This window comes from Homo sapiens, chromosome 4 (genome assembly GCF_000001405.40).
Source record: "Homo sapiens chromosome 4, GRCh38.p14 Primary Assembly".
Taxonomy (NCBI): domain Eukaryota; kingdom Metazoa; phylum Chordata; class Mammalia; order Primates; family Hominidae; genus Homo; species Homo sapiens.
In genome coordinates, this window is record NC_000004.12 from 57,162,413 (window position 1) to 57,175,812 (window position 13,400).

General features: G+C 46.2%; 1 long non-coding RNA gene across 1 annotated transcript in view, besides 1 other annotated feature; it reads left to right on the plus strand.

The window, feature by feature from the left end:
- Positions 1–13,400, plus strand: part of IGFBP7-AS1 (IGFBP7 antisense RNA 1) — a 95,538-nt gene that overhangs the window by 52,651 nt on the left and 29,487 nt on the right. The window lies entirely within an intron of this gene.
- Positions 1,214–1,263: a silencer, noted in NCBI's record as "silent region_15460". NCBI's record gives its function as "represses an Ori minimal core promoter by ATAC-STARR-seq in GM12878 lymphoblastoid cells {active_cell/tissue: GM12878}" and the evidence as "EXISTENCE:reporter gene assay evidence [ECO:0000049][PMID:35858748]".

Genomic DNA, 13,400 nt, shown 5'->3' on the forward strand with positions numbered 1-13,400 from the left:
AGTGTATTTTTAAAAAAATAACAGCTTTATTGAGTTATAATTTGTATACCATGTAATTTTTTCATTTAAAGTGTACATTTCAGTGGTTTTAATATATTCACAGAGATGTGCAACCTTCATCACAAGCAATTTTAGAACATTGTCATTACCTCACCTAGAAATGAAATATCTAGTGTAACAAACAGCTGTGTTTCAGCCAATCACAAGCAACTAATAGGATTCAGCCAATCTCAGCAGCCAACTCATCACACCATGTCCAAATAAGGCAGATGCCTACCTGTAGCCAATCAGGTGATTTCTCTGCTTTGCTTGCCTGTTCAGCCTTTAAAATCTCTCTGCCCACACTACTGGGCAGGGCTCTCTGAACCTCTTCTGGTTTGGAGTGCTGCCCAATTCATGAATGGTTCTTTGCTCAAATAAACTGTTAATTTGTCTAAAAGTTTTTTGCTAACAGCAATACTGGAAGAATTGTACTCACTGCAAAAATGTCTAGCATATGTTTTGTTTAGCTTCTAAAAATAAGATTGACATTTTATTTCAACTTATCAACAAATACAACTCCAAAACACAAATACCCTAATCATTTTCTAGTAGCTGTTCTCCAAGGACAGAGGTGAGCTTTTAATGAAACTGATTTAATTCTTCACAACATCCCTGGGGGTGGTATGGGAGAAGCCTTAAAAAAAGTCAGGTTTTATTGAAAACACTACCTGGAAAAATAGAATTGAGATACACTAATAGTCCTCTCAACACCAAAAAATCCTAGATGTGGGAGATCTTGCTTAGTCAACCCTAACTTGGAACAAGAGTTTGCATTTGATCACATCCAGTGATGACATATAATTTTATCCTTCTCCAAGCTCTTTTCAAGGATCATTGTATCTGATCCTCAAAACATTCCTGGAGGCCCACTTTACTGTGATATTACAGATGAGGAAACAACCCAAAGGAGCTGACATATTTAAGACCCAAAGTGACTTTGACCCAAAGCCTGCCACCCACACCATTCCAGACCCCAAAGACTAGTCTGCTTTTTATTTTCACACTTATTGGAGACTTTCTTTCATTTGCCCATGGTAGTGTTTCTCTTTCTAGAAGCTTCTTTATTGTTTTAAGATGAAAAAATTCATGACCAATTTCCAGAACCTCAAAACACAAAGCAACTGCTTATTTTCCTGAGCTGCTGCGTGAGTCAGTGATTCCCAGTGTTGCTGTGCCTGAAAACCCACCACTAATGTCAGCGCCTTGTGCTGTTGAGTTGCACGCGGCGCCCCTGCAGTCCAGGGCTGGGGCTAGCCCGGCGAGCGCGCGGCAGGCAGAGCATTCCCGGACGAGTCCGGTAGATGGTAGCATTGTGCAGCCGATGCGTCCTCTCCCAGCTTGCGTCTCATTTTTCCCTCTCCCCCTTTCCTGGGCTCAGCGGTGAGGCTCAGGTACCGGCGCCGCCCTGATGCCTACTATGCCGCGCCATCTCCAGATGGTCCGCACCTGGCGGGTCACGACGAGTCTCAATCCACAGCATGGGGCTGACTCGGACTCAGGAGTTTTTGTGGCTCCAGGCGTAACCGTTGCTTTGGATAAAATTGGTCCAGTTCACTTGACCAAGGAGAAGTGCAGAGGAGGATAAACGTCCCCATCCCAGTGGTGTCCTCTCCCGACTCCTTTCGTGTAGTGAGCTTTATTTTTAGAGACTCCCGCGCCTGCCAGCCGCTCATGCTCGGGTTCCCCAAGCGGAGGGGCTCCGCGTGCAGTGTGATGCCCACTGTCGCCGGCAGAGGGCACCGTCGTCACACACTGCGCAGGAGCCGGCGCGGGAAGGCGGCGGGGCTGTCCTTCCCGGTCAGCGTCCTACGCGTGACCTTGGGACCCGCAAATGTCTGCGCCGGAGGCATTGCCTCTTCCCGACTATGGGGGATACTGCACGGGGCTCCCGATGGCCTCTTCCACGCCTGGCCCTTCACTTCTTGAAGCTCACCCTTTTCTTATTTGATCTTTCTAGAACTGGCGCTCTCTCCCTTCAAATTCTGTCCCACCTTGGCTAGGTTCTGGTTCTGAGACTTCTGTCTCCCTGGCTGTTACTTTCCGTTTTTCAGGAATTTTCTTCCTTTGCCAATCCTTTAAACGTCCCTGATCCCAGGATTATTTGTTCTTCTAAGACTCACTCTGCGCACCCTCGCAAACCCACCGCCACCCTCTTCACTGCCTTGTCTTGACGACAACCACATTTTAATCTCCAGTCTAAGTTTATCTTTTGAGCTACAGACCCATTTCTTCATTTTGCCAGGCCAATAGGGACTGCTTGGAAATAATGCTTAGAAAGCAGCCAGTCTAAGAGCTGCTATTTCATTGAGGATGGTAGTCAAGGTTGTCTTCTGTCTAGAAATGCTTTGAATAACAAGTGCTTTGCTTTCAGCCAGCTGGTGTTTCTCTCTGAAGCCTTCTTCAAGGTAAAAAAAAAAAAAAAGAAAGTTTTTAGTGCTTACCTAGAGATGCAGTCACCAAACTTAACCTTCCCCCCCATTCCCCTCTTCTGCTGAGGAAACCATGCCAGGCCACAGGACCAAAACCTCCTTTGCTAGCTCCCTCTGTTTAGACCTGGACAGGATACCTACCTTAAGGCGACAAAAATGCGTGGGAATGGGCCAATCAGAGTCTTTTGAGATTTTGGGACTGGAATGTTGAAAAGAATGGTCTGGTGAAAATATGGAGAGCTCTGTAGCTTCTCTGTAGCGAAGAATCTGTAGACAAAGGGGTGTGTAAAAGATGAGTTGCCTGAGGGAGCAGGCTGAGGTAGGAGGAGGACAGAGCAGACAGAGGTAGTGGAGAGGGCCAGAGTGCCCCAGAAAGCTCTGTTTCGTTCCTCAAGAAACTCAACAGTCTCTTAATTTTGGAAGGTTTTTCTTTTTAAACTTTTTAAATTATTATTATTATTTTTTTTTTTTAGAGACAGCCTTGCTATGTTGTCCAGGCTGGTCTCGAACTCCTGACTTCAAGTGATCCTTCCACCTCGGCCTCCCAAAGCACTGGGATTGCAGGTGTGAACCACTGTGCTTGGCCTATGAAGGTTTTTCTATATTCTGTCCATAGCCCCTTCATCTTGAGCCAGTGCAGAACTGTAGCTAATTCATGAAGAAGCAGAGGACATGAAAAGGAAGGAAAGGGAAGACGGGCTGCTGACAGAATCAGCAAGGTTTAGCAGGCAGCTCCACTGGGCTGGCAGAGTTGGGAGGTTAGTGGCTGTTGTGGTGGTCGGGGAAGCAGAGAGGTTAAATTCCACATTCCCATGAACTTACCACTCCCCTTCCTGAAAATCCCCACATCCCACCTATTGCTGGATCTTAGCAGGTTGGTCAGCCATGACTCCAAAAGTCAAATGCATTTGCAAGTGTCACTAGACTTGTGGAGTGGGATAATACCAAAAGACAAACCCTGTCAAGTATTTATGGAATGCTTATTTTATAAGCATTTAAGGAAAGGGCTGAGGTGAGAAATAAAACTGAGTAAGATAAGATGCCTACCTTCAAGGAGATCCTCAGGGAACACAGGCACTTGAACATAGCACGGGCACTAACATAGAATTAAGTTCAAAATGCCACATGAATACATACAGGAGAAGGGAAAATTAACTCCGCCTTTGATGAGGGTGGGAAGGAGCCAGGGAGAACTTCAAAAGGGGAGGTGACTTTTGAGCTGGACCTTGAAGGATGAGTAGGAGTTTGTCAGACAGAGAAGAGAGATTTGCATTCTAGGGAAAGAGAGCAAAGTGTCAAAAGAATACAAGTGCATGGTGTATAGGAAGACTTTTAGTACTGTGGAGTATCTTTGTTGTATGCATATGGGGTTGGGGTTGGGGTTGGGGGTGTCAGTGGCAGCAGATGACAGGGAAAAAGGAGGCAAGGGCCAGAATGTGAAGGACCTTGAATGTCAAGATTAGGAGCTTGGACTTGATCCTGAGGACACTGTGAAGCCACAGAAGCTTTTAATCAGGGAGTCTTATATTAGCTGCCTTTGGAAGGACAACCGCAGACTGAATAGAGGATGCCTGGAAAGAGGAGAGAGCAGAGGAGGTCAGTCACATCGCCTGAACTCAGCTGCAGCTGATAAACTTTCTAGCAATATCCTGGGGCTTAGAGAAGAACAGGCAGGCTGTACATTTTAACTGATTGAAGCATTGTCCTCAAGGAGGGCTGATGAATCCGTGCATGCTCACCATTAGCACGGAGGGTCATGGTTCTACTACTGAGCCACAGGGTGCTGCATTCATTCATTAATTCATCCAGCAAACATTCATTAAATGTCTCCAAGGGCCCAGTTTAGTCTGTCCTCTTCAGCCTCAGGGATTGGTTCCACCATACCGAGGGTACCAAATCCACAAATGCTCAAGTCCCTTACATAAAATGGCATAGAACAGTTGGCCATTTGGTAGATTCACCAACCAAGAATGGAAAATATGTACGTACAGCTGGCCTTCGGTGTCACTGGGTCTTTATCAGCAGCTGGTTGAATCCATGCATGCAAAACCGGTAGATACAGAGGGCCAACTGTACAGCTTTGGTGCTAAGGATAACATGGGCAGGAAGTAGGCATGGCCCCTGCTATCATAGAGTCTGTTGTTGAGGGAGAGAGACAGCTATTAATCAGATGATTTCATGACCTAGTGCATAAATTTCCCATTTGGAAGGAAAAGAATATAGTTCGGTGAAAGTGTATAACAAAGAACTCCCCCTGGCCTCAGCTTTGGCTAAGATGCAGAGCACTACTGGGAATTTACCAGGTGAGAGCAGGGGGTTGCAGGAGAAGGAGCAGAATGTGCAAAGGCCCCGTGGCCTGAAAGAACATGGTATGGTTGAGGAACTGGAAGACTGTGTGATAGGGCATCAAAAGAAGACTGAGATGAGCTAGTGAGAGAGACAGGAGCCAAGCCATTGGATCTTTTCCTGTCCAGGTCAAGCTTTAGATAAAGTATTTGTTTAGAAGAATAGGTCAGTTAAATCTGAATGATGCAAAGCTGAGAGGACAAGTGGAACATTTGAATTGCAGAATCAAGATTTAAGACAATCTTGCAGGTCTAAATTAAAAGTGATGGAATTAAACAAATGTAAAGTTCTACATTTATGTTAAAAGTTTTAATTGACTTGCAAAGCTTTGTGTATAAGGATGCTTATCACTGCATATTTATAGCAGTGAAAACATGGGAAAGAAGAAATATGCAACTGTAGGAAAATGATTAAATATGCGATGTGTTAAAAAAAAATGAGAACATTAGCACTGAAGGTTACTTGGGTTCAAATGCTAGCTTCTTTTACTAGCCGTAGGTCATTGGACAAGTTACGTAAACTTTTTGTGCCTCAGTTTTCTTATCTAGCATATGGGGTTAATAATACTGCCTCACATAGTAGATACTAAATAACCGCTACATCAGTTTTAGCTATTGTCATTACCTAGTAGTATTATGTTTACAAATATGTTTAATGTCATTAGAAAATGCTTGATAGATAATATTAAGTGGGGAAAAACATATAGCATTATGCAGTTTAATACCATTTTGTTGCAAATTGTGTGTATTTGTATTTTTGTGTTGCTTATGTCTTTTGCTTCAACTTGGGGTGTAAGAAATGATCACATGTGGCCAGGCGCGGCAGCTCACGCCTGTAACCCCAGCACTTTGGGAGAGCGAGGCAGGTGGATCATGAGGTCAAGAGATGGAGGCCATTCTTGCCAACATGGTGAAACGCTGTCTCTACTAAAGATACAAAAAATTAGCTGGGAATGGTGGCATGCACCTGTAGTCCCAGCTACTCGGGAGGCTGAGGCAGAAAAATCACTTGAACCTGGCAGGCGGAGCTTGCAGTGAGCCGAGATTGCGCCACTGCACTCCAGCCTGGTGACAGAGTGAGACGCCGTCTCAAAAAAAAAAAAAAAAAAAATGAAATGGTCACATGTCTCCACTGAACTGAGTCATTGATCTCCTCTTCCCAGCACCATGAGAACCATCCCCTGACCAGCTGTGACAGCGCAGACAGGAATGGCCCAAGGCTGGGTAGCCAACAGCTTTCACCAGTCTGCAGGATGGTAGCATGCATAGATTTATCAGCATTAACATGCTCGTTTCTCTTTCCCAGTGTTTTCCTTTCTGTGATACATTTAAGGTTCCACAGTCCCAGTTTATTCAGGCTAAAGGATCAGTGATACTCCCAAATCCCTTGTAGAGACAGCACTGGAAAATATGATGGGTCCACCGTGGGCTGCATTTGCTGTTCCCTAACACCAGTGCCTGCTAAAAGCAGCTGTCCACACAGCCTTGAGCTATCACTGTCTGTGCTGTCACAGCTGGTCAGGGGATAGTTCCTACGGAGCTGGGAAGAGACCTCTTCTCACTGTCTTATGCCAGCACGGCTCTGGGTTCTCAATGTTTCAGCCTCTTAGTTTGTCCTCATATATACGATTCTCAAACCATGCCCATGGGGCTGCAGTGGCTGCTGCGGTAGAAGGTTCCAGCCTTGGCAATGTGCTATACCTACAACACCTCCCCACTAACACCAACAATTTAGTAATCCAGGCTCCTGCAGAGGACCCACTGAGCTTATCAGAGATGTTTGGAAACGAGTGAACCTAAGGAGAAGTAGTTGGGAGTCTTGATTTGTTTTCTCCTAGGAGGCTTCTAGCCCCCCTCTCAAATGGGCTCAACTATTTAGTACTTCCCAGTGACATTTGGCCTTGGTATCCTGGGGAACAAATGGGGAGCTGAGAAAAAACATTGCCTGTGACTAACATTCCTGCCTTTGGTCGATGAGCGCCTCTGCCTTAAATTTGCAAAGCTAAAAGAAACTGCCTGGGTGATTGTTTCCAGAACAAAAAAATGTGTCCCAGGATGACTTGTTAGACATGGAAGTGGCTGGCAACTTTTAACTTGCAGATTTTCTTGCTAAAAGTTTAAAATTCTGTCTCATTGGGGATACTGCTACATATTCATGAAAAAGAAATTGACTATTAAGAACTACACCACAATATTAGCCATGCCTACCTTTGAGTGGTGGGATTCCAATGGACTGTTTTATTTTTTATTTTGTTTTGTTGTTCAGATTTCTGACAACAAATATGTATTACTTTCACAATTAGAACTATAGATCCTGCCAATAAGTTTACTTAGATCCGTCCTATTTGTTTCAAATGACAACCCCATCCCTGGCAGGCAGATTTGGCTCTCCCTTGGTACCAGTGAGAGGCCACTGGGTCTGTAATACAGGAGTTCTGTATAGCCACAGAGAAGGAGGTTTGCAGTTAACCTCCATTCTGGGCTCTAACTCTCTCTGAGTTCTAAGTCCTCCAACAAGGCTGCCATTCACAGCCACCCCTTCCCAAAGGCTGCCATTGGGAAGTGTGTGTAGGGTCCCCAAGTCCACCCTCAGGTTTGATGATTCACTAGAAGGAGTCAGAGAACGCAGAAAAGCTGTTATACTCCCAGTTATGGTTTATAGAGCAAAAGATACAGATTAAAATCAACAAAGAAAAAAGATATACAGAGTAGAGTCAAGGAGAAATTAGACAGAAGCTTCCAGATGTTGTCACCCAGTGGGGTCACATGGATACCACTTAATCCCCCCAGCACTGATGTGTGGCAACATGCATAAAGTATTGCCAATTTGAGTCTTGGTGTTCAGGGTTTCTATGAGGGGTAAGTGACATAGGAAAAGAACACTTATGTGGCTGACCTTAGCTGCTGAGGCTGCAGCTTCCCCAGAGGTCAAACTGATGGAGCATGGTCGGGTGAATCAAACCAAGGATTTGCCACACATCACCTTGTTAGCATAAACTATCTGTTGTGGCTTAGGGATCCAGGTATACAAAGACACGCTTTTTTTCAGACAGGATATTCCAAAGTCTGACAGGTTATCCCCGAGGAGCTGGTCAAGGGCCAGTTCCTTTTTTTGGAATGTGCAGAGTTTGGGCACTCCAAGCCTCCAGTGTTAATCCTTTTCTGCACCACAGGTCAGGTCTTACAAGCATAGGCCTTGCCCTTCTGTCTGTATCTTTTTTTTTTTTTTTGAGATGGAGTCTCGCTGTGTCGCTCAGGCTGGAGTGCAGTGGTGTGAACTCAGCTCACTGCAACCTCCGCCTCCCAGGTTCAAGTGATTCTGATGTCTCAGACTCCCAAGTAGCTGGGATGACAGGCTTGCACCACCACACCCAGTTAATTTTTGTATTTTTAGTAGAGACGGGGTTTCATCATGTTGGCCAGGCTGGTCTTGAACTTCTGATCTCAGTGATCTGCCCGCTTCTGCCTCCCAAAGTGCTGGGATTACAGGCCTGAGCCACCATGCCCAGCCTGTCTATATCCTTTGCATACTTACAGTTTTCCTGTTTTTCATCCTTTTCTACATCATGGGGTCTGAGCCAGGTAAGCAAAGACTAGCTTTATTCTCCTCGTGGTTTTATACACTTGTGGAGCCGGGGGGCTGGAACTCCATTACTATTGTTAGGCTGTTTGTCCCCATCCAAATCTCATCTCCAGTTGTAATCCCCATAATCCACATGTGTCAAGGGTGGGACCTGGTGGGAGGTGATTGGATCATGGGGGTGGTTTTCCCTATGCTGTTCTCGTGATAGTGAGTGAGTTCTCCCGAGATCTGATGGTTTTGTAAGTGTTTGACAGTTCCTCCTATGCACGATGCTCTTTCACCCGCTCCCGGGGAAGATGTGCCTGCTTCCCCTTCCACCATGATTGTAAGTTTCCCAAGGCCTCCCCAGCCATGCAGAACTGTGAGTTAATTAAACCTGTTTTCTGGATAAATTACCCATGAGAATGGACTAATACATCTATGTAGAAACTTGGATTAGCTTGACATTCTCATAGTCAATATTTTGTACTTCTGAGGCTGTGTTCCTGCTCCACTCTCCCTATGAGGTCTTCCTGAGACCCCTTGATGATGGGCTGCATTGGCTGTATGGCTGCTCAGATTAGGGTTTGGAGCATGGATGGCCTATCCTGGGGTCACAGACCTGTACCTCACCTGGCCTGGGACCAGCCTCTCTCTCCTGGCATACCTTGGGATGAATGCCACTACCTTGCAAAGTACTTTACTCCCCTGCTGGGTACAAAGCCTTAACACCTGTGAAGACGAAAGAAGTCTGGGGATTTTGGTTGACCATGAGTACAAATGAAAAAAACAGGGAGGTAGTCATTAAGAAACTATTAGACGGTATGATCTACTGGAAGAGTGACAGCTTTAGTGTCAAGACAGCTGAATTTGAATCCCTGCTTAGCTATTTTCCAGCTCTGTGACCTTGAGCAAGTTATTTTCTCTGTAAATTTCAATATTTTCATCTATATCATGGGAATATTAAAATGGGCCATGGTTAGGATTAGAAATAATGTATACAAAGTGGCTAGTCCAGTGTCTAGCATGCAGTCGGTTGTAATAAATAATGGTTATTGCTAATATTATTTGGCTGTATCAACAGAGTAGCTGTTTCTAGATCAAATAAGGTAGTTGACACACTTCTTAGCTTCATCTGGGGAAACATATTCAATTTGGGACCCTCCACTTTGTGTGTGTGTGTTTGTGTGTGTGTGTGTGCGCACACATGCATGATTAAACATTTAGATATTTCCAAGGATGGTGGTCGGAAAAGCAGAGAATCTGAAAAACATGTCGTATGAGGGAAATGGGAATGTTTATCTTGGCAAAGAGAAAGTTGAGATTGAATTGCTTTTAACTGTTTGTTGGGTCACCCTGTAGAAGTGGAAATAGACACATGGGTTATAGCTCTGAAGGACGTAATTAGACTCAGTGGGGAAACTGGGAGGCCAGATCCTGCCAGAAACAATTCTAGCCATCTAACAATTAGAGCTGTCCAGCAGTAGATTAGGCTGCCTCTGAATTGTCCTGTTCCTGGAATTATCAGAAGATGTGAGACTAGTGGGAGCACTGGGAAGGTTTTGGCTTTGGATGGGAGCCTGGATGAGAATGAACTCCAAGGCTCCTTTGTCTGTAGTGGCCATCTTGCTCGTTTTTCTTGTTAAGTTCCTGTAGGAGGCACCAGTCATAAAAACCCCTTGATATTAAATACCATTATAGCTCTCCCTCTCCCTCTCCCTCTCCCTCTCCCTCTCCCTGTCCGTCTCCCCACGGTCTCCCTCTCCCTCTCTTGCCACGGTCTCCCTCTGATGCTGAGCCGAAGCTGTCCTGTACTGCTGCCATCTCGGCTCACTGCAACCTCCCTGCCTGATTCTCCTGCCTCAGCCTGCCGAGTGCCTGCGATTGCAGGCGCGCGCCGCCACGCCTGACTGGTTTTCGTATTTTTTTGGTGGAGACGGGGTTTCGCTGTGTTGGCCGGGCTGGTCTCCAGCTCCTAACCGCGAGTGATCCGCCAGCCTTGGCCTCCCGAGGTGCCGGGATGGCAGACGGAGTTGCGTTCACTCAGTGCTCAATGGTGCCCAGGCTGGAGTGCAGTGGCGTGATCTCGGCTCGCTACAACCTCCACCTCCCAGCTGCCTGCCTTGGCCCCCCAAAGTGCCGAGATTGCAGCCTCTGCCCGGCCGCCACCCCGTCTGGGAAGTGAGGAGCGTCTCTGCCTGGCCGCCCATCGTCTGGGATGTGAGGAGCGTCTCTGCCTGGCTGCCCAGTCTGGAAAGTGAGGAGCGTCTCTGCCCGGCCGCCCAGTCTGGAAAGTGAGGAGCGTCTCTGCCCGGCCGCCATCCCATCTAGGAAGTGAGGAGCGTCTCTGCCCGGCCGCCCATCGTCTGAGATGTGGGGAGCGCCTCTGCCCTGCCGCCCCGTCTGAGAAGTGAGGAGACCCTCTGCCTGGCAACCACCCCGTTTGAGAAGTGAGAAGCCCCTCCGCCCGGCAGCCACACCGTCTAAGAAGTGAGGAGCCCCTCCGCCCGGCAGCCACCCCGTCTGGGAAGTGAGGAGCGTCTCTGCCCGGCAGCCACCCCGTCCGGGAGGGAGGTGGGCGTCAGCCCCCCGCCTGGCCAGCAGCCCCGTCCGGGAGGGAGGTGGGGAGGTCAGCCCCCCACCCGGCCAGCCACCCCGTCCGGGAGGGAGGTGGGGGGGGTCAGACCCCCGCCTGGCCAGCCGCCCCATCCGGGAGGTGAGGGGCGCCTCTGCCCGGCCGCCCCTACTGGGAAGTGAGGAGCCCCTCTGCCCGGCCACCACCCCGTCTGGGAGGTGTACTCAACAGCTCATTGAGAACAGGCCATGATGACAATGGCAGCTTTGTGGAATAGAAAGGGGGGAAAGGTGGGGAAAAGATTGAGAAATCGGATGGTTGCCGTGTCTGTGTAGAAAGAGGTAGACATGGGAGACTTTTCATTTTGTTCTGTACTAAGAAAAATTCTTCTGCCTTGGGATCCTGTTGATCTGTGACCTTACCCCCACCCCTGTGCTCTCTGAAACATGTGCTGTGTCCACTCAGGGTTGAATGGATTAAGGGTGGTGCAAGATGTGCTTTGTTAAACAGATGCTTGAAGGCAGCATGCTCGTTAAGAGTCATCGCCACTCCCTAATCTCAAGTACCCAGGGACACAAACACTGCGGAAGGCCGCAGGGTCCTCTGCCTAGGAAAACCAGAGACCTTTGTTTACTTGTTTATCTGCTGACCTTCCCTCCACTATTGTCCTGTGACCCTGCCAAATCCCCCTCTGCGAGAAACACCCAAGAATGATCAATAAAAAAAAAAAAAAAAATACGATTATAACTTCCAAGGAGCTGCAAACACCCATGGAATGTAAAACACGAAGGTCTCTTATCCTATACCTAGCTTTCTCCCTAGAATGAAATTTTAACTTGGTTTGGGAGAGAGAGAGTCCCAGCCAGCATTTCTCTTTAGAATGATTAAAGTCTTGGGATCCATCTGGACTCATTCATTTTAACTATTCCATTTCCCAAGAATATCATCTCATTACTTTTTCAATGACCCAATATTTTCAGCACAAGTGAATGAGTCCAGAAAGTCATTTCAGCCATCGATTATTTTTGGTAACCTTCTGATCTGCTCTGAATCCCTTTTCTTTTAATTTCCATTTATGTCCTCGTGTCTCGTCATCTGTTCTAAGCTGAAAATAGTAACTTGGCTTGACCTTATTATCTACCATTTAAGATTTTATAGTCTTTGGTTAAATCTCATCTTAATAAGTGTTCCTAGGCTATAGATTGTGGTTTTTCCTTTACTTTTTTTTTTTTTAAAGGCTGTTCTTTGTCACTCCTATCTATGATGACAGGACCAACATTATGGCCCTTCTCTGAGTATGCCAGAATCTCACTTCATCTTTTTGATAAGAACCATCCTCAACATCAGCTTAGTAAGTTATACCTATTTGCTTAGAAACAAAGAACACCTCCTCTTTAGCCTTGACCTGTGTCCCAATTCTGTTTCTGAATATACCTAAAATCCTACTTACATGGGATTTAAAATGCCACTGGGTAGGGCAACGTACCAAGTGGTATTAGTTAAATCTTAATGTGGCTGAGTTTGTCAGCTTCTTAGAAATAAGTTTTGACAACTGAGAAGAGATTGGGCAATAGAACTCTGGATTTTTTTTTTTTTGCTAGACTATAACTGTAACTATAACTATAAAACTATATATATACATATACATATTTGAGACAGGGTCTTGCTCTGTCACCCAAGCTGGAGTGCAGTGGTGCAATCATGGTTCATTGCAGCCTTGACCTCCTGGGCTCAAGTGATCCTCCCTGCCTCATCCTCCTGAGTGGCTGGGACTATAGGTGCATGTCACCATGCTAGGCTAATTTCAAAATTTTTTGTAGAGACTGAGTCACATTAAGTTGCCGAGGCTGACCTTGAACTCCTGGGCTCAAGTGTTCTGCTCACCTTGGCCTCCCACATTGTTGGGATTACAGGCATGAGCCACTGCGCCTGACCAAAGAATGTCTTTTAAAGCAAATATTTATTGAATGCATAGATGTGATTGGCAGTATAACATTGAAAAAATCATGAAGAAGACACAGTAGTGGACCTCAAGGACCTGCTATGCAGGAGTGTGGGGGTTTGGGTTAAGACCTGAGAAAACATGGAAAGGAGAGTTTCAGATCATTAGTGACAAACTTCAGATTTTGAGAGCAGGATCTGGGTGGCCTAAAGTAGTTTTCATACTCAGAAGTGGAGAGAAAGGAGACAGAAGGTGGTAGAAAAGAGTAATTTTCTTTTGGCTCCCTGGCGTGCTTTTTTTTCATGGATGAATCAGAGTTTCTTTAGATTTTCAATTATCTTTCTAGTGTGTCCTGCCTAGCTGGGCATTACTCAAAACCCATCCAGTCCTCTGAGGCTTGAAGGGACTTCTGATGCATGTCCTTAGGGCCTGTCTTTGTTGGTAAATCCAATTTGAGAGGAGGCAGCAAATCAACAGGAAAGGAAAATATTTCCCTTTCTTAATG